Below are 27,939 nucleotides of genomic sequence, written 5' to 3'. Positions count from 1 at the left end.
GAGGTAGCATACTTATACTCTACTAAGTTGAGAGATATAAAAGTAATATTTCTGTTATTTATGGTATATAATGAACATTTGTGAGTTGAGGAATTACTGGCTGTTGGATCTTGGCAGATTGAATTTACTGCTGTATGGAAAATGATTGAGTATAATGCATTTCTTCTAGAAAATAAAATTATCTTGATAAGGTTTTAGTAACTATAAAATGGAAATGTGAAAAATGTTAGATGCTTTGATTTTCTTTAAAAATAAATCTAAATAGTTTATTGAATTTTTGACTTTTATTTGCATTTTTCTGGTTCTGGTTTTTTTTTTTTCAATAAACATAATTTAAGAACATGATTTACTGTGTTTTAGGGAGGAAAACTTGTTCAGTATTTCTGTTATTGAACCTCATAATATTATAGATATTTTTGCAAGTGTGTACTTCAGAAGGTTTCATGAAGAAAGCACTATAATGTAAAGGCCAAGAATCTGTAAAGGTAAATTGCTGGGTTCAGTAGTATTTTTTTATATCGTGCAGTAACATCTCTAGACTAGGATTAAAATTGAATAATTAAGTTCTTAGAAAGATTTTGCTATCCATAAGAATTTAATATTACTGAATATTGAAGCAGAAATTATTAGGCCACATTGTATATTAATACTAATATTCTTTAGCATTTTTCCTCTAATTCACAGACTATCAGGGACTCTGATTTTACTAAGATTTGTATGTTCTTAAAGTGACTTATAGAAAACAAAATTTCTCAAGTCTTTTGTTTCTCTTTTTTTTCCATAGGGGTACCAAAGTCTGATCTCTTGCACACCAAATCATTAAGGGGCCATAAAGACTGCTTTGAAAAATACCATTTAATTGCAAACCAGGGTTGTCCTCGATCTAAGCTTTCAAAAAGTACTTATGAAGAAGTTAAAACCATTTTGAGTAAGAAGATAAACTGGATTGTGCAGTATGCACAAAATAAGGATCTGGATTCAGATTCTGAATGTTCTAAAAACCCCCAGCATCATCTGTTTAATTTCAGGCATAAGCCAGAAGAAAAATTACTCCCACAGTTTGACTCCCAAGTACCAAAATATTCTGCAAAATGGATAGATGGAAGTGCAGGTGGCATCTCTAACTGTACACAAAGAATTTTGGAGCAGAGGGAAAATACAGACTTTGGACTTTCTATGTTACAAGATTCAGGTGCCACTTTATGTCGTAACAGTGTATTGTGGCCTCATAGTCACAACCAGGCACAGAAAAAAGAAGAGACAATCTCTAGTCCAGAGGCTAATGTCCAGACCCAGCATCCACATTACAGCAGAGAGGAATGTAAGTAAAATGGGGAGAAAAGTAAAAGTTGGGTGGTTTGGGATTTTTGTACATTTGTATAGATGTGTAATGGGTCAAGAATTTTGCTGTGGAATCATAGATTTGGGAAACATTGTATTTAACAGGTTCACCTTAGCAAAAATGAGACATCTTAAAATTTTTCATTCACTGGGATTCTGTCTTCTAAGCATTGAAGTTAAGCAATTTCCATGTTTGTTTTGCCATTTAAAATGATTACACTAAATGGAATCAACAAACTGTGAATTGGAACATCTAGGACTCGTATAGTTTAGAAGTACAGCTTCATCTGTTGGCTAATACACATTGTCATGTTGCTGATCCCTGTAAGACTAATTGACTGGTGGTGGCATTTCAGAAGCAAAAATGTGACATTTTACTAAAGGCCAAAGGTAATGTGTGCACTTATTGTAAAGTTAGAAAGGGTGACTCATTCTCTCTACATCTATTTCTACAAAAATTTACAGAAGCTGAGGTGATTTTAATTGTCTTGAAATCATGTTTTCAGAGCCAGAAGGGACCTCTGCTATCTTGTTATACAACTTCTTGATTCTAAATGTGAATTATTTAAGATTCTACATCTAGACAGACAAATTTATTTTTCAAACTGCAGGTTATAAACTATCTAATGCTTAATCAAAATAAGCTTAATGGGTAGTGACTAACACTTTTTAAAAACTGAAACCGAATAGGAGATACCAGAATTCATTGGACCTACTACTATTTTTTGGTGAAACTTTTATTTCATTGGAGGGTGGTGATGTACTGGGAGTGATAAAAAATATGTTTCTGGCCAGGCACAGTGGCTCACACCTATAATCCCAGCACTTTGGGAGGCCAAGGTGGGAGGATCACTGGAGCCCAGGAGTTCAAGACCAGCCTAGACAACACAGGGAGACCCCATCTCTACAAAAAATAAAAAAATTAGGTGTGGTGGCACACGCCTATGATTCCAGCTCCTAGGGAGGCTGAGGTGGGAGGAATCACTTGAGCCCAGGAGGTTGAGGCAACAGTGAGCCATTGATCGCACCACTGCACTGCCACCTGGGTGACAAAGTGAGACCCTGTCTCAAAAAAGAATAAAAATAAAATTTTCTTACCATGGGTTGTGGTCAGGGTTTGAAAACTTCTACTCCACACTTACGAGCGTTAATGGTTGAATACTGGAGTACTGCTGAATGTTGTGTTGGCAGTTAAGTGCTGATTTTTAAAAATAGGATATTGTGTTGGTGATGTAAGCAGCATGTTTTCCTAGGTTGTTGTGGTAATAGTGAATACATTTTCATGTTTCAGTGAATTCGATGACTCTTGGTGAGGTAGAGCAACTGAATGCAAAGCTCCTACAGCAAATCCAGGGTAAGAATCACTGTCAGTACTTTTTTGTGTGTGACAAATTTTGACATAGAAAATCATCTATGATAGGACACCACTGGCTTTATCTACATTTAAATTTGGAAATGAGATATTCAAACCTGTTAGAGTTTCCAGAGCAAAAAGAATAAGAAAGAAACAACTTTCAACTGCAGAGGAAATACATTTTTCCTTTTTTTTTTTTTTTTGCGACAGAATCTTGCTTCATCACCCTAGCTGCAGTGCAGTGGTGATCCTCCCGAGTAGCTGGGACTTACTGTCATTACACCCAGCTAATTTTCTATTTTTTATAGGGAGGGGGTTTCATCATGTTGCCCAGGCTGATCTCGAGCTCCTGGGCTCAAACAGTCCTCCTGCCTCAGCCTCCCAAAGAGCTGGCATTACAGGTGTGAGCCACTGCGCCCAGCCACATTTTTCTTTTCTAAGTGAAAATGGAAACTACCACCTCTTACTAACATTTTATTGACTACCCACTATTGCACCAGGCACTATGTGGGAGTCCTCCCAAACAGTTCTTTAAGGCATGTGATATTAGTCTTTTTTGTTAAATTATAAACAATTTCAAACATATATAAAAGTAGTGAGACTAGTATAGTGAACCCTTTAAGCCATTTTCACCAGCTTCAACTGTTAGCAAAGGCATAATAATCAGTATCTCTACTTGCATCCATTCCCATTGCACTACCAGTAGCATGGATTATTTTCAAACAAATCCTAGCTAACACACTGTTTTTTGTCCATAAATAGTTTAGGATTTCCTCTAAAAGAGATAACTTTTTAAAAAACAGTCACAGTCTCATTATCACACCATTTAAAGTTAATAATTCCTTAACGTCATCAAGTATAATGCTAACACTAACAAGTAATGTTCAGATTCCGCAGTTGTCTCCTTTTCAATTTATTTCCTTTTAGATGAGAAAATTGTACTTCAGAGATGTTAAGTTGCTTACAGAGATCATGCATCCAATCAGTAGCAGATCAAGGATTTAAACTCCAAAGCTTAACCACACAGCCTCTCAGAATAATAAAAATAATCACAATAATAGTTGTAGTAGAAATTTATGAGTACTTTACAAATATGATCTCATTTAATTTTTACAGTAGCCTGGTGAAGTGCTTACTATCATTATTAATGTTACACAGAAAAGGAAATTGAAACCAAAAGTTGCTTGCCTGAGGCACGTAAGAGTAGGAACAAGGATTCAAAACTCTTAGTAGTCTGATTCCAAAGCCTCTTAGAGGGGGTTCCAGACCTGAATACTAACAGGCACTTCTTGTCCATAAATCACATTATGTACTAATTGAATCTGTTTATAGATTCTAATTGAGAAAAGTAGCTCAGCTACAGTAGCAACCACCATTTTTGCTGTGTATCTCTGTAGTCACTTGATGGAGAAGAGCCAAATTCCATTTGGCTATGTAAAGTATACAGATGCCTAGGATGATCAGAACTGATATGCTTTGTAGAGAACAGAACTGTTTCCTTGGTATCAAATCAGTTTCATTGTGACACTTTGCCCAATGCATAGATTTCAGTTAGAGTTCTTGAAATATAAATCATAGCACCGGCTTTCTGCATACTAAAAATGAAAGTTTTTAAATCTTTTACAGAAGTTTTTGAAGAGTTAACTCACCAAGTGCAAGAAAAAGATTCTTTGGCCTCACAGCTCCATGTCCGCCACGTTGCCATCGAACAGCTTCTGAAGAACTGTTCTAAGTTACCATGTCTGCAAGTAGGGCGAACAGGAATGAAGTCGCACCTACCCATAAACAACTGACCTAAACAGACTTACTTCGTATGCCCTGCCCTTTATTGGTCTCCCAGACATGCAAACTTTGAAGAAGTTTGAAGAAAGTTGTGGTCCGTTTTTTTATGGTCATTAAATTTGCCAAACATAAGGCAGTATTTAACATCTTTGTCAAATAAAGCAGATCATTATACTCTAGTCTTCTAGGGCTAATCATTTTGGCTCATTTGGGGACTCTTTTTTCCCAGAATTACTAAACAAATTTTATCACATGTGACTACTTAAATATACTGTTACAGTGTCATTTTATTAAACATTTTAATTCACCTGTCAAAACAACAGATTAACTCCTTAGTGTAAACTACTAGAGATAATTTTTAAGAGGGAAATGGAATTCATATCACCTCTTATTTATTATGAGCAATATTTTAATATAAAAATTTTATATGTGAAAATGCTATTTTAGGTACTTTGCCATTCTCTTTATAAATGTGTATTTGAGTGGTTCTGTATATTTATTTACATTATCATGTGTGAATATGTTCACCCATATTTCAGGTCACTGCATTTTATTCTCTTAATACAATGTTTTCACAACGGTTACCTTGCTTTCCAAAGATAAATATATTTTGGATTAGAAATCTGAGTTGTTTTAATTTCTAATACCTCTTGTAAAAGAAGAATTAATAACTTTTTAAAGCAGTATTCAGGTAAATACAATACATTATTTTGTTTTCTAACAAAAGCAGTTCTTAGTTCAGGAAGAAAAGACTAATCTGGCTTCTATGTCAATTTGTCTCCATAGAAATGAAAGCCTCCTCTTGCTTCTTTCATTATTAGCTTCACACCAGTGACTGTGATGCATTAGAATTTGGACAGAGTAAGTCAAGCCTCACTTCCAATTCAAATATAATGTCTATCTTCAAATTGAGTGTGCTGTGAAATTGTTCTGTCTTTGAAAAAAAAAAGTAAGATTATTTTGTGTGCCACTTTGGGTAAAGTTTCAAGAATACTTAAACTGTCCAAATTGTATTATCACCATCATTGAACTTAGTGCTCAAAGAAAGCATTGTGAGGTATTTTTCTAAACTTTAGACTCTATAGAGAAATATAGGATTGTTCTACAGAAGAAAAGCAAAACTCCTAATTAAAAAAAAATAAACCTATGTATTAAGAGAATGTTCTCGTAAGTTGCCTATGATGCTTCCAAAGAGTTTTTATCTAACAGATTGTGCCAAACAGCTAGATAAATTTTAATAATGTATTACAGTAAAGGCTATAACCAATGCAGAATTAAAATGGGCTCTAAATTCTGTTTTTAACTCATGTTTAGAATGTACTTATGAGGTAGATCCTTGCTTGAAAGTATCTGCTGAAAAGCCCAGTAACGTGGCAGCTTCATGCATAAAGATATAAATGACATTTGCCTTAAATTTGGCAGCCTACCCTGGCTTGGGTCAGATTTTGTTGTTGAACACAAGAAAGTATTTAAGCAAAGAAACACTTCAGTTTAATTGAAAACAACTTTTTGTAATGCTGACGTGTTAAATTGGCCTGAGGGTATTAATTGATATCTGTTGATTTTGTTTTTCTTTGAAGTATAACATTACTTTTTGGAGGGAATTTTTGAAAGATGCTTTCGATTTCTCTCAATTCTTTAAGTCATGCAAAATGAATTTAAAATCCAGGGAGTATGGATGCATTGCCTTAGTTTTGATGAGCTTTAAATTAAATGTGTGCAATATCAAAATATTCAAACTTACAAGCTGGGTAAATACATTTCCTGATTAATATCTTAGTGCTTAATTGTTCCCACATTTTCAAATTTGACTTTACTCTTTTTTGGCGTAATTCAGTAAGATTGTTACCAGCCAGTGTGTTTGCACACATTTGGGTTTGTGTTTAGATGAGTTAGGGACAGTCATAAAAGTTGGGGATATGTTGCATTTGATATCAATAGTAGCATATTTCCAGAATATGAGCCATAAGTTGCAGTCCTGAATACAACAGTGTTATCCAAAGAAAGGAGTTTTCTGACAAATATACATAGCTTTGCTAATGAGTACGGAACAAGTGGATGAACGTGTGCATGTGCTAAGGTCTTAAGTGGGACTCTGATTTATTCCATTTAGATATTTCTACTTAAGCTCTAAAAAGGAGAGGTGCTCTTAAAAAAAACTTTGTGGTGCTGGTACTCACACTACTTTATTTGGATGAGTTCCTAGTAAAAAAAACTTTTTGTTGAAGTATTTTGCACAGCAGTTTATCCAAATGTTTGGTAAACTTATAATTTAGTCCTATGTTAGTTTTCTTAATCAAATATGCAATTACTGTGTATGCAAATATAAGTATCAGGTACAGAGTTGAGTTCTAACAAGAGAACATGAAATATCACAAATATTGTTTTCCACACTTGGCTATTCTCTACAGTTGTTAGTAATTTTTGAGAATGTTTTGAAGCATATCTCATGTACTACTGTTTAAAAAGTGGCAAAACAGACTGCCAGTCATCCATTACTAAATTTTCAGAGCTTATATGATTAAGGGGAGTGAGATAAGACAAATCTTTTTCACGTTCAGTTTTATAATTTGACACGTTAAATTGAGTTTTAAAAATTAGAAAAGTGTTTTTGACCACACAGGTTGTTCTCTTTAAAGTTCAGCCTTATAATGAAGCTAAAAATCAATTATGTTTTACTTTGAGATTATCATCTTATCCTTTGATCCTCATATTAATATCTAAATTAGTCTTTTTTAAAAGGCATGCACTTGAGACTCCAGTAATAGATGATTCAGGCAGCAGAATAGTGTTTTGTTGTGTCGTTGACTATGCACAATGGTGGAGCAAAGACACATTCTTAGTTTTTCAAAACACATGTTCATTTTACCACAAAGTGCCCATTTTTATATACATTTAAGGATTATTTTTTCAATGTCAAGTTCATGTTAGTGATTTCAGAAATATAGTCAAAATATATAGTCAAATATATCTTGACAGGCATCTTGAGATTTGGTTTTTCATTTTACTATATTTATGACTGAAAATGGTTTTGTGTTTTCTTTATGTTGTTTATATATTTTTTACCTTAGTGTTTACACTGGTAAGGCTTGTTAGTCCATTTTTGTAGTTTTTTTAAAGTAAGCTTTTAGATCTATTTGTGTTTTAATGTTTCCCAGTTTGGGTTTTGTTTTGTTTTGGAAGAATCTGCTTTCATTATTAAATTATAAAATGTAAATGCTCTAAAGTAGGAATTTTTAAAGAGTAAATTATTTGTGTAGCTTATTAGGAGGTTCAGGTTAGTGACCATAAAGTGGGTTACTTGTACATGAAAATTTGAAATGGTACCATGTAAAATTCTTCTATTGTCAACTTTTTCTGATGTATGCCAGTTCATTTACTGACAAATGTTGTTACTAAGTGCTTATTAAGAAGTGTAATACGCTATAAAAAAGTTAATACTTTTTGTTCAGATGTAAGGCAAAGATAATTGATGCCGTTTCAGTGTATGATTGTATTTTTAACTTTTACGTTGGTGGGAGTAACTATTTGAGGAAATTTGTGGTGAGAATTAGTAAGAGATAAAACCCCCAACAGTTTATTCTTACCAAGTAAAGTTTTGTGGTCATGGGGCAGGGAAGAGTTTATTTACCAGAATACTAGAGCCCTCACACAAAATAAAGGTAACTTGGAGGAGGGCTATAATGCTTGCATCTCAGTATTTTCATTTCACTTCATCCTTTCATAATTGCCTTGATTATGGTGCAGTCTAACCTATTAAGCAACTTCTGGCTATGGTAACATTGATATGAACCATATTATATCAAGTCTCCAAAACATCTAGTTTGTTAACATACACTTTCCCTGTTCTTTTTAGTTTGAGTCCACATTACTAATACATTTTAATAATATTTAATTATTTCACAATTTTAAGTTTACCAAAGTAAACAAAAATTCATGAAGATGAGTATTGCCCTCTCCCAAAAAAGGTTTAAAGATTAGTTGAACTTCCCTCAACTACACCTAAAGCAAAGGGGAATTTTAGTAAGTGTGTGTACCTTGTTTCTTTCAGACGCATCTAGAATGTTTTTCTTTCACCGTACCTCCAAAAGAGGCAATTTAGAAAGTATTAAGTAGTGACTTTTGTTCAGTTCCATTTTGTGTGTGTGTGTGTGTGTGTGTGTGTGTGTGTGAACCTTGCTTTAAAACAGTAGCGTATACTATGGTCATTGAACTTAATCTCTCTGGTGTTAGAAATTTACTTTACAAAATTGTGTTAAGACTTTTGGAAAAAGAAAATGAAACTGCTGTGGTAAAAACCAAGTTTGTTTCAAAAAAGTAGGCAATTATTTGGCTGTTATATTTTCTTTGAAAACTGCAATAATTTATATATTTGTATTGCTCTGCTTGGGAACTGTATATATGCTTGTCTACTATTTTTAATTTTACAACAATAAAATAAGTATTTTGTTATCTGCTAGCTTGAGTGGATGCTTTGAAAAGTAGCTATATTTTTTTAAATAGTGGGTCTATATGGTTTTGCTTTGCAGGTTTAGGGAGTCTATAAATGATCTTATCTGACAATTTCTTGTAATAATCTTACCTTATCTCTGATACTTAATATTCTCTGTTTCCCAACAATACAGAAGCAGGAAATAAGTTGCCTGTGACTTACTAGATGTGTATGCAATTTTTTTTAATTGGGGTGTAATTTATATACAGTAAGCACAAACATTTTACTGTATTGTTTGAATTTTAACAAATGTATGCAACTGTAGAGCCATCACTCCCTTTGGTTCCCCTCACAGTCACTTCACTTTTTATTTCCCTTCCACTGATTGTTCTGATCCTTTTTTTTTTTGAGATGGAGTCTCACTCTGTTGTCCAGGCTGGAGTGCAGTGGCACGATTTCAACTCACTGCAACCTCCACCTCCAGGTTCAAGCGATTCTCCTGCCTCATCCTCCTGAGTAGCTAGGATTACAGGTGCACACCACCATGCCCGGCTAATTTTTGCATTTTTACTAGAGACGGGGTTTTGCCTTGTTGCCCAGGCTGGTCTTGAACTCCTGACCTCAGGTGATCTGCCCGCCTCAGCCTCCCAAAGTGCTCGGATTACAGGTGTGAGCCACTGCGCCTGGCCTGATTGTTCTGATCTTTATTACTGTACTTTGCATTTGCCTGCATTAAAAACTTTACATAAATGTAGTGATACAGCATATGCTCATTTGCTCCAGGCTTTTTTCATTCCACTGGATGTTCTTAAAATTCATCCATGTTAGCTCAAAGATCAGTAATAGTTCATAGTTCATTTCCTTTTTTTTTTCTTTTTTTGGCTGAGTACTGCTCCTTTGTATGAATATATCATAATTTAATTATTCACCTGTTGATGGACATTTGAGTTGTTTTTAGTTTGGGGCTTATATGAATATGAATATTTTTAAATCGGCTTTAAAAATATTAAAATAGGAATACAACAAAATATTCAAGGTCACTTTTAGTTAGCATTACGAATCTGAATATTACATTACCAGTTTTTTTTCCACAAATGATTTTTAAAGTCATTTATATGATGCTTTTATGGCAACAAGCAGTTTAAAACTAGGAAACAGATGATTTTACAAAAGCTCAGAGGCAAATTACAAAATAAGGACTGCTGGAGAATTGAAACATTTCGTGGGGTACTAGAAGAATCTGTCGTTTTTGAAAGTCTCTTCAAAGTCTAATAGTCATACTGCTTTGTTTTTCAGGAGAGGAAATGGAGACCAAGAGTCTGGTTTGGAAAGAGTACCAGACTACAAATGAAGTGCTCCTGTTTAGCTTTAACTAACTGACATTAAGAGAAACTAACTTTTCTAAGCCTGAATTTGTTAGGCTTTGCTCATGCTCAGTTTCCCAGCCTTCTTGGGAATTTTCAAACTATTTGTAAAATGGTTTGTTCTCCCCTAATTTTTAATGTATCATAGGACCAGAAATTCTTTGCAGGTGTCTTAGAGGCCGACAAGTCATACGTGGATGATGGATAGAATAGGAAGGGGAGCTGCAGGCAGAACAAGGCCTGTTTTATATATTGATACTCTAAATTCATAAAAACCTGTTCGAAAGGTTTTGCTTTTAGAATCTGATAAAAGTGATGCATTGGATCCTTGCAAGTTTATGTCTTTGGGTTTTATTTTCTATTTTTGATTTTGGTTTTGTGGTTTTCTGCTGTTCTTCCACGTCTGAATCCCTTTCTAGTGTTTGGATGGCACAAGTCACCACCTCTAGAAGCAAAAACTTCAACCTCCTGTGTATCTGAGGCACCTCGCCCTGACTGGTAAAGCAAAGAAACTGGATAGGAGAAGGCCTGTGTTGAGGGCATCAATGGCTAACTGTCAGCAGGGACAACAGCCATTATCCCATATCCAGTGAGTACAACAGGTAAGTTCCTGACATTGGTGTTTGAATAGCCATTGCCTTGTGTACATTAGACTGTGATCCTAGTAGTTGATTACATCACCTTTGTTCCTGCGTGGTTTCCCAGCCTTCTGGGTGATCTCTCCCCATTGAATAAATTCCTTTATAGCCTAAGTCAACTAGTTGCTTTCTCTAGCTTGCAACTCAGAACTCTTGTTAAACCTAACCTCTTCCACTGGGTCTATGTCCTGTGTTCTACTCTGAGATCTTATGAAATTCATTTCCAGAGGTGAACTGCTAAGAGCCAATGCATATCTAAACTAACCCTCAGCCACATGGGCTGCCTTTTGAGTCAACTGAATCTGCTGGGAAGATTCTGAAGAGAAATTAAACCTCTTGGTAATGCAGATGTCAGTTTTCCTGTTAAGAATGTGCTTTAGGATGGGCACGTTGGCGCATGCCTATAATCCCAGCACTTTGGGAGGCCAAGGCCGGTAGATTGCTTAAGTCCAGGAGTTCAAGACCAGCCTGAGCGATGTAGCAAGACTCTGTATGTACAAAAAATATAAAAATTAGCCTGGCATGATGGCATAGGCCTGTAGTCCTGGCTACTTGGTGGGGCAGAGACTGAGGTGGGAGGATTGCTTGAGCCCAGGAGGTCAACGCTGCAGTGAGCCGTGATTGTGCCACTGCAGTCTAGCCTGAGTGACAGAGCAAGACTTTGTCTCAAAAAAAAAAAAAAAAAAAAAAAGAGAAAAAGGAAACCACTGCTCCAAACCATAAACTGCCCCAGAATTTACTTCCCAAAAGATGTGGTAATGCTACTTTCCTGCTAAGAGACCTTTCTAGATTATCACTGCCTACAAAACAAAAGCCAGTCCCCACAGTTTAGCATTTAAAGCCTTCACCATTTGGCATCCACTTATTTTCCATTCTAAATCTTTCGTCAATTTTCAGATTTCGTTATGTTGCCAGAAACTCTGCCAAGCCCTGTAAGTCTTTGGGTCTAAGGGATATAAAAGCCAACAAGACTCTGTTGGTCAACTGGAAAGTATTCTGCCAAGAGATTGAAAGAATAAGGATTGAATAATGTTCATTGTATTTAGCAACCAGAAATTCATGGAGTACAGTTTTAATGGACCTGTGGGAGCAAAAGTAGATCACAACAGATTGTAATATGGATGCAACGTAGTACCATGATTTGAATGTGTTCCCTGAAGTTCATGTGTTGGAAACTTAATCCCAAAAGCAACAGCATCGAGAGGTGGAGTCTACTAAGAGGTGATTAAGTCATGAAGACTCTACCCTCACGGATGAATTAATGTTATGGACGGAGTGGGTTAGTTATCATGAGAGTGCCTTTGTTATAAAAGCAAGTTCAGCCCCCTCTTGTTTGCTTGCTCACATCCTCTTGCTCTTTCCACCATGTTATCACACAGCATGAAGTCTTGCTACCTTGCCAGATGCTATCACCATGCCCTTGGACTTCCCAACCTCCAGGATTGTAAGCCAAATCAATAACTGTTTGTTATTAATTATCCATTCTGTAGTACTCTGTGATAGCAACATAAAATAGACTAAGACAGGTAGGATAGTGGATTTGAGGTATGATGTCTTTAAAATTTTATGAAGTGAAGTTGAGGTAAAGAGGATGTTGGGTCAAGGTTATTTTTTTAAGGTTGGGAAGTACTTGAACATGAATAAATACTAAGAGGACAGAGCCAGTAGAAAGGCTAACGATAGAGAGGTAGCAATAATCAAAGGAGCCCAGTTTGAAGACACAGAACAGAGTAGCACACCGAGAATGACTTGTCTTTGAAGAGGTTTAGGATTACCTCAGGTTTTGACACTAGAGAGAAGGTAAAACTACAGATGAAAGTATTTGAATCAGATTTGTTGGAGAGTAAGTTGAGAAAGTACTTAAATGGCTGCCTCTATTTTCTGTGAGAAAGACGAAAAAGATAATGGGTCAGAGATTCAAGGGAAGTGGTAAAGTGCTGAATAGTTACTACTTGAGGAATGAGAAGGGTCCTGACCATCAGAGGAGGGGTTTAGAAGAGGTGGAAATGAGGAACCATGACTCACCATTGGTTAAGGTTGCCTGAATTTGCTTTCTGATTTTGTTGCTGTAAAGAAGAGGTGCTTAGAAGAGTGAAAATGAGCAACCATGACCGTTTAGAAGAGGTGGAAATGAGGGACCATGACTCACCATTGGCTGAGGTTGTCGGAATTTGCATTTGGATTTTATTGCTGTAAAGAACAAGACGGAGTATTTTTGAAATGGGAGTAAACTAAACTGAAAGCACTACTGAAAATAGATTAGAATCTGAAACTGAGATAAATTTGTGGCTCAAAAAGAAAATTTACAAAAGCCAATAGATGAAATTTCTAGTGTGGGATAGATGAGAAATATGAAAAGCTACTGCAAATGGCATGTGGGAAAAATATGAATACTATAGTCTTTACTTCGTTTCTTCAAGCAATAATTTTATTTGTTCTCTCAGTATTTGGTGCGATGGCGAGGGTGGACTAAGACTCTGTTGTGAAAACCAAGCCCTTATAGGTCAGTTGGTATCAAGCTTCACCAGAGGGAAGTCAAGAAATCTTTAACCTAGAAGAGAAGAGGTTTATAAGAGGATGGTCAGTACAGTGTACAGAATGTGGAAGAAAACCATAGCATAGCTAACGCAAGAGTTTCAGATCTGTAACTTCAAAGCAAAGAAAAGGCAGTGTGAATACAGAAGGGCTATTCTAGAGGAAAGAGGCTACTGAACTGAAAAGTGATTAAGGCAGAAGAGGAAGTTGTAATGAGCAAGATGATTGCTAAACCGACATGCAGGAACTTCTCTTCTAATCTTCTGCCACAACTAAGCACCTCTTTACCTCTCTTAGCCTCTGTTTTCTCATCTGTAAAAAATGAAATTGAACTTTATGATCTTTAGGGGACCTTCTAGCTCTAACATTCTACAAGTATAATGAATTTTAAGAAACCTACAGTGGAAAATCTCCCAAGCCCCTCTATGAACAGCAGAACTGAGCTGAAAGGGCACAAAGAAAATGTGGTTTCATTTTAAGAGGAAACTGTGAGGTGCTGTTACAGCAAGCTATTTCTGTGATCACCTGTGACAAAAGAGAAAAGAGAGCTGTGTCAGCCTGGCTCCTATTATAAGCAGCTACACAATCCTCTGCATACTGTTTAAGAGCACCTATGTTGTAGAAAGAAAAAGAGGTCTATATATTTTGGCATCTTGTTACTCTGTCACATTCCATATCGGGGGAGCTATTGGGAGAGAATGTTCTCTTAGGAGTAACAGTGGGATAGTTCTCCCACACAATCAGAAGTTGGGTCACCTCCAGCACAGTTCCTAAAGGCTGGCTCCTGTGTGTGGAAAATGAGACACGTAAAGGCAATGTGGTAAGCTAGTTAATAGGATAGAATTTATTCATCAATAAAATTGTTCTTTGTTCTGAGAGTATGTCTTTCCTATGGGAATAGTAAATTTTTCTTTCTTTCATGAAGTGATGACAATAGATGGTAGATTTTCATTTTTGTTTATTTGTTTAGTTTTCAGTCCTTACTTGGTGGAATTAAAACCACAATCTTGTATTGGTCTATTAGTCAGGGTTCTCCAGAGAAACAAAACAAAGTATGTATATATGTGGAGAGAGAAAGATTGGTTTAATTCCCTAAACCAGCTCTGGGGGCTGGCAAGTCTGAAACCTGCAGGGCAGCCTGGATGGGTGGAAACTCCGAGAGTTGATGCTGCAGTCTTGAGTCTGAAGGCAGGTCAGAGGCAGAATTCCTTCCTCTTCAGGGGACCTCACTCTTTTCAGACCTTCGACTGATAGGACAAGGCCCACCCACATTACAGAGAGTAATCTGCTTTACTCAAAGCCTACTGATTTAAATGTTAATCATATCTAAAAACTACTTTCAAAGCAACACCTAGACTGGTTTTGACAAAACAACTGGGCATCATATTTTCCATTTTATTTCAATTTTATTTTAATACTCCATGAATTTAACAAGTCTGGAAACGATGAATCTGGCATTATTTTATCCAAACAGTTGTCTCTGAGCAGCACAATCCTAAATCCTCTACTTGGGTTATCACAATCTCCAAAGAAAGAAGTGCATGTAAGACGCCCTCACACTATTCTGAAGTTTTCCATGTGTTCTAAAAGGGCTTAGAGGAACAGCTTATTATTTTTTAGAATAATCCTTTGCGTAACAAAAATACAAGTTATTTCATTTGTGGTATTTTTTCCTCTTAATCTAGTGTTCAATCAGAAATTATTTGAAGACTGAGTGAGTGTCATACAAAAAGTAAAAGATTCAATGCCTCTAATAATTCAATATCCAATAATTTTAGATAAATTATTAAAGAGTGTTAGAATGTTGAACATTTGGTTTGTTCCTCTCTTATTCTCCTTGCTCCCTCCCTCTGTACCCCACAAACACCTATCCAGAAAGTCATCTTGTATAAGAGAAGGATCCTCCTGAATCCCATCTACCACCAACCCACAGCATATGTTTCCTTGAAAAAATTTAAATAGTCCCAGCTATTGGAAGAGCTCTAGTGTTCCCCAAGACTAACTGGGTAAATAACCAAGTTGCTGGCCATCTTGCTGTGGACAAGCTTGTTCCTTTTTGTCCTGATCAGATAGCTCTGAAACTAGAAAAGACAGCACCTGGGCCTCCTGCTAAGTTTCTCTTCACTGTTCCTGCCTACTGCTTCTCACAAAAGCCCCAGAAAAATGTGGGGACCCAGTGAACTGCTGTTGCCCTATAGAGACAATGGAGCACCTCCCTTGCTTAAAAGAAAATGCAGAGGGAGTTGAGCTAGTGACATGCAAAACCACATTTCCTTTGCTGCCTCCATCTCTTCTCATCTTCATACCTGTGTCAATAAAGTATGGGGAAATAGACTCACATCTTGCAGGACTACACTGCTTTTCATCAAAGTACGGAAGAAATTTCTATCCCAGATGGACACAGATTAGTCTCATCTCAGATGACAAAGTGAACCAGCATGTGGGATATATAAATATCATAGGAAAGTACTAAAAATGTAGAGCTAGAGGGACCTTCAGGAGTCTTGCAGCTTTTATTTGATTTGATTTGGTTTGGTTTGGTTTTAGCAGAGGTCTTTGTTTTAAAAAAAATCCTTCAAGAATTACAAAATGTGAAATGTATAGGAAATAGAGCTGCTGCTGTTCTGCTCGAAAGACAATGGAGATTATTCGACCGAAGTCCCCATTGTATCCCTCTCAGTGACAATCCCCTAGTTTCTCAAACCTTCTATCATGAGCCTCTGAGGCAGCTATGAGAGACCAGCAGGCCCCTGGTTACCTGCAAAGCACCTTTTACAAACTGCTTGTCTACTCTAATACCTTTAGGTGGCCTAAGTCAGTTAAGAAACTTCCAAACGTTCTATACCTTGTTAGCCACAGAGGCAAAGACAAGCACCAAATCTCGATTCCATTTCCAAAGCTCCCATGACCTGATACCACTTCTTATTTTTATTACACAAGATCTTCTTTCTAATGGAATAGTAAGCTATTTCTCCACAGTCTGCTGGACCACAGAAACAGCCAGGAGAGGACTACACAGTTGGAAAAGAATAGGCAGCACAAGTTTTCTAGGGAATCCAGAAGTAGCTTAGATGTCTTCATCCTGAAAGTCAACCAGAATAGACTATGGGAAGAGTAATAGCAGTAGAACTTGCATAACAAATGCTGCTTTACATCAAAAAGCCAGTTTCAGCAAAATTTGTTTATAGGAAATTTCAAAGCTTACACACGTCTATTGTGATTACCTGGTTGGAGGTGGGGGAAATCGCTTACCCTGCTGCTCCTCACTAGATCTTCAAACTAAAGCAGCTCAAGTTATATATTGTAGTCATATGTTCAAGGGCCTGTGGGTACTGTGTGGCTAGGATTTTCTGGTCAACAGAAGAAAATCACAGCAATGTGTACAAAAGCCCCCAGATGTCCCTTATCATATTAGCATCTCTTGTGCAGAAATATATTTTTTGGCACCATATCCTGGAACCAAAGAGAAGGCTAAGGTAAATGGAATAGCAGATGAGCTCATAAGAAGCCAAATTCCAATCTCATACCTGAACGAATTTGAAATGGAAGCTCACTTAGATACAAAGAATTTTAGAACAAGATCTGAAACTCAGTTAAGTAGCCCTCTTAGTCATTACCACTAACTTGGTGCTCATTACAAGTAAAAGGAGGACTTATCCAATTACCAGTGCTTGGTTTCCTGTTGCGCTAATGAACAGGAAAACAGACTACCGCTACGAAAGAATTCATGCCTCTGAGCAGCCAGCGGCTTAGCCACATGTCTGGGTATGCCGAATTGTTCTGATCAGTCAACTTAGGTAAACTCTCATTACTGGTAGATGCCAGAAATAGCACCAGCAAAATCCCCTAAGAAAACCCCAAAATGAAGTTTATGCTATTCCTTCCTCTTTCCTTTGGAACAATTCCATCCTAGAACTATCAGGTGCAACAAGCAAGGTTAGGGTTAGTCCTCATTCACAGGGGCATAGTGAGGTGTGTTTGAGCTGGAGCAAACCAGGAGGGCCTAGCATGGGGTGGGTGGGGAGGTCTGATGCAGGCTATCAGATCTAGAGTGGGAGGAGGAGGGCACCCATGGGGGCAGTGGGGAGCAGGAGATTGGGGGTGGGGTGCCAGAGCCTCAGTGGGCAGAGGAAACATCAGCAGGGGGAAAGGTTATTAAACAAAAATGAGGCAGATGTCTCAATTAGTAGAGGTTTATTAAGCCAAAGTTTGAGGACGACCCAGGAAAAACACAAGTCACAGGAGCATCTGTAACCTGGGCTTTCCGAAGAGGGTTTGGGGAACTCATTACTTAAGGGGAAAAAGCAAGCAGTGGGGGAAAGGGAAGGAGGGTAGGCAGTGAAACAAATAGTTACATCCTTGTGAGGCTGTAACTAGCACTAAAGGAATCTATGTTTTACATAAAAGAAGGTGAACACTTGAAAAGAGAAAGGAAAGAGACAATTATGCATCCATCTCAAGAGTAGGCGCAGGAGTGGTTCGTGTCTTGTACTTGTTCTGTACCTTGGAAGATAAGCTCGTAATTGACATGGTCAGGGTGAGATTTAACAGAACTCGGTTTTAGGAGTTAAACTTAGGTGGCAGGACCAAGGTTACAATTGGCATGTGTTGCTTTTATAGGGGAATATGTATCCTGAAAGATTTTGGAGCTAACAAGGAATTTCCTTGAGAGCAATCTGTGAAGGGGGCCATCTGGGGATGTATATGGCCTTTTGCCGTGTTGGGAACCTGGCTTACATACAATGTTATGACATAGGATTGTGAAATGACAGCTATCTGTTTCAGGAAGAAGGAAGGCAATATTTGCATGACTCAGTTCCCAGGCTTAACTTTCCTTTTGGCGTAGTGAGTTTGAGGTCCCAAGATTCTGATTTCTTTTACAGGGACAAAGTGGCAACACAGGGTTGGTTATATAGGAAGGAATTTAAATAAGTAAATATATTAAGAAATTGAGCAGTTCGGTTTCTCATTCCTCAAAGAGTTACAAATATGAAAGAAGAGAACCAGAATGAACCCTGTGAGTCTGGTTGCAATTGAAGATAATGGGGTAAATGCATGATTTTCAATAGATAGATAAGATACAAATCTAGATACACACAGATGTAAATGTGCTTTTGTGCTTGGCCATTGAGAAGGGGGTCTGGGAGAGTGACCCCCAACAAAAGCGATGAGTAACAACTAGAACCCAAATACTGCTTTCTAAAAACTGTTCACTAAATCCGGGCCCCTTTTGGAGAAATGATTGACTTTAGGGTACAAGATAAGTCGAATATATTTTTGTTCCAGAAAGTACAGAAATACTAAAAAAAGATGGGGACATGACAAAATAACAGAGAACTATATTGAAGGAGTCCCCACTAGCCAAATCAGAGGCAATGTAAGCACCCAAATACTTAGTGAATCCATTGAATGAAATAGGAAAATCTGTGTGATGAAATGAATACATAAATTGAGTTTTTCATAAGAGATGAACTATTTACATAATCTCAAAATACATCCTTCCAAATAATTATTAATTACAAAAGGGAAAGAATTACTTTTTGGTGGAGAAGCCTAACAGACTCGACTCTAATCAAGTGATCAACGTTGATGTCAGGCAGTGAGGATGAGGAGGGGGTAAGAAAAGATGTGAGACTGCTGAATATTTTCCTTAAGAAAATACAATTTGGGCTGGGCATGGTGGCTCATGCCTGTAATCCCAGCACTTTGGGAGGCCAAGGCAGGCAGATCACCTGAGGTCAGAAGTTCAAGACCAGCCTGGCCAACATGGTGAAACCTCGTCTCTACTAAAAATACAAAAGTAGCTGGGCGTGGTAGTGGGTGCCTGTAATCCCAGCTACTTGGAAGGCTGAGGCAGGAGAATCGCTTGAACCCGGGAGAGGGAGGTTGTAGTGAGCCAAGATTGAGCCATTGCACTCCAGCCTGGGCGACAAGAGCAAAACTCCATCTCAAAAAAAAAAGAAACAACAACAAAAAAGAAAATACAATTTGACCTTTAAAGACAATATGAATGTATAACTGTGGTAATTTATATATATATATATAAAATATTGAAAAATTTTTTTAAATCTTTGTTATTCTTAGGTCTTACTCATTGAAAGCTTACTCATTGAAAGAAAACAAATAACAAATATTATCAATTAAGACTATCCAATCATAACACAGTGCTTGAAACAAAATATAAATGGAAATGCTTTTACTAAGAAAAAAAATCATATAATGGCTCCCAAATTGAGAAATCCTTGATCCTTCATCAAATCATTGATCCTTAGAGTTTCAAATGTTAGCAAGTTGAAAGAAGCTACTTTAAATTGCTAAAATAAATACTATCATTAGTATTCACAAATTCTTGATCCTTGATCATCAAAGTTTCAAATGTTAGCAGTTTGAAATCATTAGTTATTATAAGTGATAAAATACTATCTAGCATTTGTGGAGTTTTACTCAAAGGCAAGCATTGTTCTTAAGTTTTATAGACATCATCACATTTAGTTTTCACAATTTCTTTATGAGGTAGGTACAATTATCTCCATTCTACAGATGAGGAAACAGGTGCAGAGAATTTAAGAACCTAGCCCGTCATACTATTAGAGGGGTGAACCCGGGTAGTTTAACTCGTATGCCTGTGTATTTAATCATTGCACTGACTGTTTTAATCCTTAATTCTAACCCTTAGTTCTATTCCTTCTCACATTGAATCAATCATCTATGATCTATTAATGTTGTCCCCCAAATCATCTCAGTCCCTGTGTACTTTGGCTGGAGTAATAGATTATTTTTTAAAGTAGAGGTTTATTTTAGAGATAATCTTGCTTATCTAATTTCCTCATATTGCAGACTTGCTGCAGTTTTACATCCAGTTCACTGATCAACTATCAAACTGAAGGATAGCTTGTCACTGCATCTGCAGTGACTCACTTGCCTTGGGGAAAAATACATGTCACACATTTACATTTTGGCTTTTAAGTGAGGAAACTTCATGGTTTTCAGAACAGAGTAAGATTCTTGAAAACTAAAACAATAAATCCAATGCTGATTGTGATCAATGATGAATACCTTGTGTCACTTGCAAAAATGTACAGCTTCTGGAGGTGTTTTCCTGGTCTTGGGGCTGGTGATTGTGATCATTATAACTACTGATGAGTTACCAAATTCCAAAGTCCCCCACAGATGGTTTGTGTAAACAGAGCCTGTAATAAGCTATCCTGTAGAGACATTTCTTTGAGAAGGTTTTAAACTGCTAACTATAGCACCAGTGATCTTGAAACTTTCACTAGTAGAGGCTTCAACATTTCAATGAGAGGTCACTTTGGGACAGTGTGGTGAGAGTGGTCGCTAAGGAGAGATTACTTGGGAGCCATCTACAATGGTCTAAATGGCCCCTCCTCAATGAAGGGAGGCAGAGACATTTCTGTGAAGTGAGACTGCCCATATGTAGACATACACACATACATACATACGTACATACATTTGCCAAAATGATGTATTTGAGCCAGCATATTAGGTTCTTTTTTTGCTTTTCTGGGTGGCAGTAGTACAAAAGAAGGAGCAACTAGACTAAAAGTCCAAAGGACATGGGAATAAATAATAATAATACATAATAATAAAATGCTATACAAAAACCACCAAGTGCCATGAGTTGTTCTAATACTTTACAATCATTAAATGAGTTCATCCTCTTAACAAACCTAAAAAGTGGGAACTATTACTTTACAGATGGGAAACGAAGGCACACATTTGCATTGACGAAATTATTCTATTATAAGGGGTGGAGCTGGGATTTGAGACAGCCCTTCTGGCTACCAGAGTCTTGCTCCAACTTTCAGTAAGTCTAGTATCTATTGACAAAATGTACTGTTCTTATCGCCTCTTATGACTTACCCCATTTGTTTGGGTTTTTAAGCATCAGCAAATTTGCCTTGCAAGCTGCTCTTGTGCTTAAGAGTTATCTATATGAAAGGAGAAATTATACATTCAAATAGTCATGTGATATTAATTAAATGAACCAGATCATAGATCGAATTTGCTGTTCATAGATGATCTTTTAGTTTAAAAAGTAGGAGACTATAAAAGTGCTGTTTCTTCAGCTATCATTCAAAGGCCTATTCATCAATCTATCCCTGGGTCATAAAAACTCCTATTTTATAACAGGCACATAAACAGATGCCTCCCATAATTCAATGATTCTGCACCCCATTCTATTCATTACCAACAAAGTGTAAAATGCTCCTCTTAAAAAACAGACAACAGGAGTGGCTGGCAAGATGGCCAAACAGGAACAGCTCTGGTCTGCAGCTCCCAGAGAGATCAGTGCAGAAGGCAGGTGATTTCTGCATTTCCAACTGAGGTACACGGCTCATCTCATTAAGACTAGTTAGACAGTGGGTGCAGCCCACGGAGGGCGAGCTGAAGCAGGGTGGGGCATCACCTCAGCTGGGAAGTGCAACGGGTCGGGGAACTCCCTCCCCTAGCCACAGGAAGTCATGAAGGACTGTACCATGAGTAACGGTGCACTCTGGCCCAGATGCTACGCTTTCCCCATGATCTTCGCAACCTGAAGACCAGGAGATTCCCTCTGGTACCTATACCACCAGGCCCCAGGGTTTCAAGCACAAAACTGGGCGGCCGTTTGGGCAGACACCAAGCTAGCTGCAGGAGTAGTTTTTCATACCCCAGTGGCATCTGGAATGCCAGCGAGGCAGAACCATTCGCTCCCCTGGAAAGGGGGCTGAAACCAGGAAGCCAAGTGGTCTAGGTTAGCAGATCCCACTCCCACAGAGCCCAGCAAGCTAAGATCCACTGGCTTGAAATTCTCGCTGCCAGCACAGCAGTCTGAAGTCGACCTGGGACACTAGAGCTTGGTGGAGGGAGGGGCGTCTGCCATTACTGAGGGTTCAGTAGGTGGTTTTCCCCTCATAGTGTAAACAAAGCCTCTCAGAAGTTCAAACTGGGCGGAGCCCACCACATCTCGGCAAAGCTGATACTGCCAGCCTGCCTCTCTAGATTCCTCCTCTCTGAGCAGGGCATCTCGAAAGAAAGGCAGCAGCCCCAGTCAGGAGCTTATAAATAAAACTCCCATCTCCCTGGGACAGAGCATCTGGGGGAAGGGGCGGCTGTGGGCACAGCTTCAGCAGACTTAAACGTTACTGCCTGCTGGCTCTCAAGAAAGCGGCGGACCTCCCAGCACAGTGCTCGAGCTCTGCTAAGGAACAGATGCCCTCCTCAAGTGGGTCCCTGACCCCTTTGCCTCCTGACTGGAAGACACCTCCCAGCAGGGGAAGACAGACACCTCATACAGGAGAGCTCCGGCTGGTATCTGGCGGGTGCCCCTCTGGGACAGTGCTTCCAGAGGAAGAAGCAGGCAGCAATCTTTGCTCTTCTGCAGCCTCTGCTGGTGATACCCAGGCAAACAGGGTCTGGAGTGGACCCCCAGCAAACTCCAGCAGACCTGCAGCAGAGGGGCTGACTGTTAAAAGGAAAACTAACAAACAGAAAGGAATAGCATCAACAAAAAGGACATCCACACGGAAACCCCATCTGAAGGTCACCAACATTAAAGACCAAAGGTAGATAAATCCATGAAGATGAGGAAAAACCAGTGCAAAAAGGCTGAAAATTCCAAAAACCAGAACGCCTCTTCTCCTCCAAAGGATCACAACTCCTCTCTAGCAAAGGAACAAAACTGGACAGAGAATGAGTTTGACGAATTGACAGAAGTAGGCTTCAGAAGGTGGGTAATAACAAACTCCTCCAAGCTAAAGGAGCATGTTCTAACCCAATGCAAGGAAGCTGAGAACCTTGAAAAAAGGTTAGAGGAATCGCTAACTAGAATAACCAGTTAAGAGAAGAACATAAATGACGTGATGGACCTGAAAAACACAGCACGAGAACTTTGTGAGCATACACAAGTATCAATAGCCAAATCCATCAAGCAGAAGAAAAGATATGAGACTGAAGATCAACTTAATGAAATAAAGTGTGAAGACAAGATTAGAGAAAAAGGAATGAAAAGGAACGAACAAAGACTCCAAGAAATATGGGACTATGTGAAAAGACCAAACCTACATTTGATTGGTGTACCTGAAAGTGACGGGGAAAATGGAACCAAGTTGGAAAACACTCTTCAGGATATTATCCAGGAGAACTTCCTCAACCTAGCAAGGCAGGCCAACATTCAAATTCAGGATATACAGAGAACACCACAAAGATACTCCTCGAGAAGAGCAACCCCAAGACACATAATTATCAGATTCACCAAGGTTGAGATGAAGGAAAAAATGTTAAGGGTAGCCAGAGAGAAAGGTCAGGTTGCCCACAAAGGGAAGCCCATCAGACTAACAGCGGATTTCTCTGCAGAAACCCTACAAGCCAGAAGAGAGTGGGGGCCAATATTCAACATTCTTAAAGAAAAGAATTTTCAACCCAGAATTTCATATCCAGCCAAACTAAGCTTCATAAGTGAAGGAGAAATAAAATCCTTTACAGACAAGCAAATGCTGAAATATTTTGTCACCACCTGGCCTGCCTTACAGGAGCTCCTAAAGGAAGCGCTAAATATGGAAAGGAAAAACCGGTACCAGCTACTGCAAAAACATACCAAATTGTAAAGACCATTGACACTATGAAGAAACTGCATCAACTAACGGGCAAAATAACCAGCTAGCATCATAATGACAAGATCAAATTCATACATAACAATATTGACCTTAAATATAAACAGGCTAACTGCCCCAATTAAAAGACACAGACTGGCAAATTGGATAAAAAGTCAAGACCCATCAGTGTGGTGTATTCAGGAGACCCATCTCATGTGCAAAGACGCACATAGGCTCAAAATAAAGGGATGGAGGAATATTTACCAAGCAAATGAAAAAAAAGACAGCAGAGGTTGCAATCCTAGTCTCTGATAAAACAGACTTTAAACCAACAAAGATTTAAAAAAATGACAAAGAAAGGCATTACATAATGATAAAGGCATCAATGCAACAACAAGAAGTAACTATCCTAAATATATAGGCACCCAATACAGGAGCATTCAGGTTCATAAAGCAGCTTCTTAAAGAAATACAAAGAGACTTAGACTGCCACATAATAATGGTGGGAGACTTCAACACCCCACTGTCAATATTAGATCAATGAGACAGAAAATTAACAAGGATATTCAGGACTTGAACTCAGCCCTGGACCAAGCAGACCTAATAGACATCTACAGAACTCTCCACCCCAAATCAACAGAATATACATTCTTCTCAGCACCACATCACACTTATTCTAAAATTGACCACATAATTGGAAGTAAAACCCTCCTCAGGAAATGCAGAAGAATGGAAATCATAACAAATAGTGTCTCAGACCACAGTGCAATCAAATTAGAACTCAGGATTAAGAAACTCACTCAAAACCACACAACTACATGGACACTGAACCACCAGCTCCTGAATGACTACTGGGTAAATAACAAAATTAAGGCAGAAATAAATAAGTTCTTTGAAACCAATGAGAACAAAGACACAATGTACCAGAATCTCTGGGACACAGCTAAAGCACTGTTTAGAGGGGAATTTATAGCACCAAATGCCCACAAGAGAAAGCAGAAAAGAACTAAAATCAACACCCTAACATTGCAATTAAAAGAACTAGAGAAGCAAGAGCAAACACATTCGAAAGCTAGCAGAAGACAAGAAATAACTAAGATCAGAGCAGAACTGAAGGAGATAGATTCATGAAAAGCCCTTCAAAAAAATCAATGAATCCAGGAGCTGGTTTTATGAAAAGATTAACAAAATAGACTGCTAGCCAGACTAATAAAGAAAAGAGAGAAGAATCAAATAAACACAATAAGAAATGATAAAGGGGATATCACCACTGATCCCACAGAAATACAAACTACCATCAGAGAATACGATAAACACCTCTATGCAAATAAACTAGAAAATTTAGAAGAAATGGATAAATTCCTGGACACATACACCCTCCCAAGACTAAACCAGGAAGAAGTCAAATCCCTGAATAGACCAATAACAAGTTCTGAAATTGAGGCAGCAATTAATAGCCTACCAACCAAAACAAGCCCAGGACCAACCAGACGGATTCACGGCTGAATTCTACCAGAGGTACAAAGAGGAGCTAGTACCATTCCTTCTGAGACTATTCCAAACAATAGAAAAAGAAGGACTCCTCCCTAACTAATTTTATGAGGTAAGTGTCATCCTGATACCAAAACCTGACAGAGACACAACAAAAAAAGAAAATTTCACGCCAATATCCCTAATGAACATCGACACGAAAATCCTCAATAAAATACTGGCAAACTGAATCCAGCAACAGATCAAAAAGCTTATCCACCATGATCGAATCGGCTTCATCCCTGGGATGCAAGGCTGGTTCAACATATGCAAATGAATCAATGTAATCCATCACATAAACAGAACCAATGACAAAAACCACATGATTATCTCAATAGATGCAGAAAAGGCCTTTGATAAAATTCAACACCTGTTCATGCTAAAAACTTAGGTATTGATGAAAAGAATCTCAAAATAATAAGAACTATTTATGACAAACCCACAGATAATATCATACTGAATGGGCAAAAGCTGGAAGCATTCCCTCTGAAAACTGGCACAAGACAAGGATGCCCTCTCTCACCACTCCTATTCAACATAATATTGGAAGTTCTGGCCAGGGCAATCAGGCAAGAGAAAGAAATAAAGGGTATTCAAATAGGAAGAAAGGAAGTCAAATTATCTCTGTTTGCAGATGACATGATTGTCTATTTAGAAAACCCCATCATCTCAGCCCAAATCTCCTGAAGCTGATAAGCAACTTCAGCAAAGTCTCAGGATACAAAATCAACGTGCAAAAATAAAAAATCACAAGCATTCCTATACACCAATAATAGAAAAACAGAGCCAAATCATGAGTGAACTCCTATTCACAATTGCTACAAAGTGAATAAAATACCTGAGAATACAGCTTACAAGGGATGTGAAGGACCTCTTCCAGGAGAACTATGAACCACTGCTCAAGGAAATGAGAGGACACAAACAAATGGAAAAACATTGCATGCTCATGGATAGGAAGAATCAATATCGTGAAAATGGCCATACTGCCCAAAGTAATTTACAGATTTAATGCCATCCCCATCAAGCTACCATTGACTTTCTTCAAAGAATTAGAAAAAGCTACTTTAAATTCCATACGGAACCAAAAGAGAGCCCACATAGCCTAGACAATCCTAGGCAAAAAGAACAAAGCTGGAGGCATCACGCTACCTGACTTCAAACTATACTACAAGGCTACAATAACCAAAACAGCATGGTACTGGTACCAAAACAGAGATGTAGACCAACGGAACAGAACAGAGGCCTCAAAAGTAATGCCACACATCTACAACCATCTGATCTTTGACAAAGCTGATAAAAACAAGCAATGGGGAAAGGATCCCCTATTTAATAAATGGTGTTGGGAAAACTGGCTAGCCATAAGCAGAAAGCTGAAACTGGACCCCTTCCTTACACCTTATACGAAAATTAACTCAAGATGGATTAAAGACTTAAACATAAGACCTAAAACCATAAAAACCCTAGAAGAAAACCTAGGCAATACCATTCAGGACATAGGCATGGGGAAAGACTTCATGACTAAAACACCAAAAGCAATGGCAACAAAAGCCAAAATTGACAAATGGGATCTAATTAAACTAAAGAGCTTCTGCATAGCAAAAGAAACTATCATCAGAGTGAACAGGCAACCCACAGAATGGGAGAAAATTTTTGCAATCTATCCATCTGACAAAGGGCTAATATCCAGAATCTACAAAGAATTTAAACAAATTTTAAGAAAAAAACAAACAACCCCATCAAAACATGGGTGAAGGATATGAACAGATGCTTCTCAAAAGAACATATTTATGCGGCCAATAAACATATAAAAAAAGCACATCATCACTGGTCATTAGAGAAATGCAAATCAAAACCACAATGAGATAGCATCTCACTCAAATTAGAATGGCGATCTTTAAAAAGGAAACAACAGATGCTGGAGAGGATGTGGAGAAATAGGAACACTTTTACATTGTTGGTGGGAGTGTAAATTAGTTCAACCATTGTGGAAAACAGTGGTGACTCCTCAAGGATCTAGAACCAGAAATACCATTTGACCCAGGAATCCCATTACTGGGTATATACTGAAAGGATTATAAATCATTCTACTATAAAGACACATGCACACGTATGTTTACTGCGGCACTATTCACAATAGCAAGGACTTGGAACCAACCCAAATGCCCATCAATAATAGACTGGATAAAGAAAATGTGGCACATATACACTATGTGTATATGTGAATACTATGCAGCTGTATAAAAGGATGAGTTCATGTCCTTTGCAGGGACATTGATGAAGCTGGAAACCACCATTCTCAGCAAACTAACACAGGAACAGAAAACCAAACACTGCATGTTCTCACTCCTAAGTGGGAGTTGAACAATGA

General features: G+C 38.0%; 1 protein-coding gene and 2 long non-coding RNA genes across 7 annotated transcripts in view, besides 7 other annotated features; 2 read left to right on the top strand and 1 right to left on the bottom strand.

Moving 5' to 3' along the window:
• The window catches only part of C21orf91 (chromosome 21 open reading frame 91), a 30,383-nt gene extending 21,454 nt beyond the window's left edge, over nucleotides 1-8,929 (top strand). Inside the window, exons 3-5 of one of the 3 annotated variants that reach the window (NM_017447.4) lie at nucleotides 785-1,321; nucleotides 2,633-2,695; nucleotides 4,325-8,929. In NM_017447.4, the coding sequence (NP_059143.3) occupies nucleotides 785-1,321; nucleotides 2,633-2,695; nucleotides 4,325-4,488 (764 nt within the window). In that variant the 3' untranslated portion in view covers nucleotides 4,489-8,929. Of the gene's footprint in view, nucleotides 1-784; nucleotides 1,322-2,632; nucleotides 2,696-4,321 lie in introns of all 3 variants that reach the window. The other 2 variants (NM_001100420.2, NM_001100421.2) reach the window with 2 other exon arrangements.
• Nucleotides 1-27,939, bottom strand: part of LOC124900465 (uncharacterized) — a 145,830-nt gene that overhangs the window by 93,222 nt on the left and 24,669 nt on the right. The window contains exon 3 of one of the 2 annotated variants that reach the window (XR_007067822.1): nucleotides 13,318-16,528. The exons of the other annotated variant lie outside the window; for it this stretch is intronic. This is a non-coding gene — a long non-coding RNA (uncharacterized LOC124900465). Of the gene's footprint in view, nucleotides 1-13,317; nucleotides 16,529-27,939 lie in introns of those variants that run through there. 2 annotated transcript variants of the gene reach the window in all.
• Nucleotides 3,774-3,943: an enhancer, noted in NCBI's record as "active region_18300". NCBI's record gives its function as "activates an Ori minimal core promoter by ATAC-STARR-seq in GM12878 lymphoblastoid cells {active_cell/tissue: GM12878}" and the evidence as "EXISTENCE:reporter gene assay evidence [ECO:0000049][PMID:35858748]".
• Nucleotides 5,394-20,499, top strand: C21orf91-OT1 (C21orf91 overlapping transcript 1). 2 transcript variants are annotated; one of them, NR_038871.1, is made up of 4 exons: nucleotides 5,394-5,426; nucleotides 10,693-10,875; nucleotides 12,291-12,355; nucleotides 20,284-20,499. It is a non-coding gene; the product is annotated as a C21orf91 overlapping transcript 1 (long non-coding RNA). The 2 variants fall into 2 exon arrangements; NR_038870.1 differs by lacking the exon at nucleotides 12,291-12,355.
• Nucleotides 12,685-12,744: an enhancer, noted in NCBI's record as "active region_18299". NCBI's record gives its function as "activates an Ori minimal core promoter by ATAC-STARR-seq in GM12878 lymphoblastoid cells {active_cell/tissue: GM12878}" and the evidence as "EXISTENCE:reporter gene assay evidence [ECO:0000049][PMID:35858748]".
• Nucleotides 13,155-13,244: an enhancer, noted in NCBI's record as "active region_18298". NCBI's record gives its function as "activates an Ori minimal core promoter by ATAC-STARR-seq in GM12878 lymphoblastoid cells {active_cell/tissue: GM12878}" and the evidence as "EXISTENCE:reporter gene assay evidence [ECO:0000049][PMID:35858748]".
• Nucleotides 13,275-13,344: an enhancer, noted in NCBI's record as "active region_18297". NCBI's record gives its function as "activates an Ori minimal core promoter by ATAC-STARR-seq in GM12878 lymphoblastoid cells {active_cell/tissue: GM12878}" and the evidence as "EXISTENCE:reporter gene assay evidence [ECO:0000049][PMID:35858748]".
• Nucleotides 15,313-15,362: an enhancer, noted in NCBI's record as "active region_18296". NCBI's record gives its function as "activates an Ori minimal core promoter by ATAC-STARR-seq in GM12878 lymphoblastoid cells {active_cell/tissue: GM12878}" and the evidence as "EXISTENCE:reporter gene assay evidence [ECO:0000049][PMID:35858748]".
• Nucleotides 17,217-17,436: an enhancer, noted in NCBI's record as "active region_18295". NCBI's record gives its function as "activates an Ori minimal core promoter by ATAC-STARR-seq in GM12878 lymphoblastoid cells {active_cell/tissue: GM12878}" and the evidence as "EXISTENCE:reporter gene assay evidence [ECO:0000049][PMID:35858748]".
• Nucleotides 22,172-22,221: an enhancer, noted in NCBI's record as "active region_18294". NCBI's record gives its function as "activates an Ori minimal core promoter by ATAC-STARR-seq in GM12878 lymphoblastoid cells {active_cell/tissue: GM12878}" and the evidence as "EXISTENCE:reporter gene assay evidence [ECO:0000049][PMID:35858748]".

This window comes from Homo sapiens, chromosome 21, assembly GCF_000001405.40.
Source record: "Homo sapiens chromosome 21, GRCh38.p14 Primary Assembly".
Taxonomy (NCBI): Eukaryota; Metazoa; Chordata; class Mammalia; order Primates; family Hominidae; genus Homo; species Homo sapiens.
This window is presented reverse-complemented; position numbering and strand designations above follow the sequence as displayed.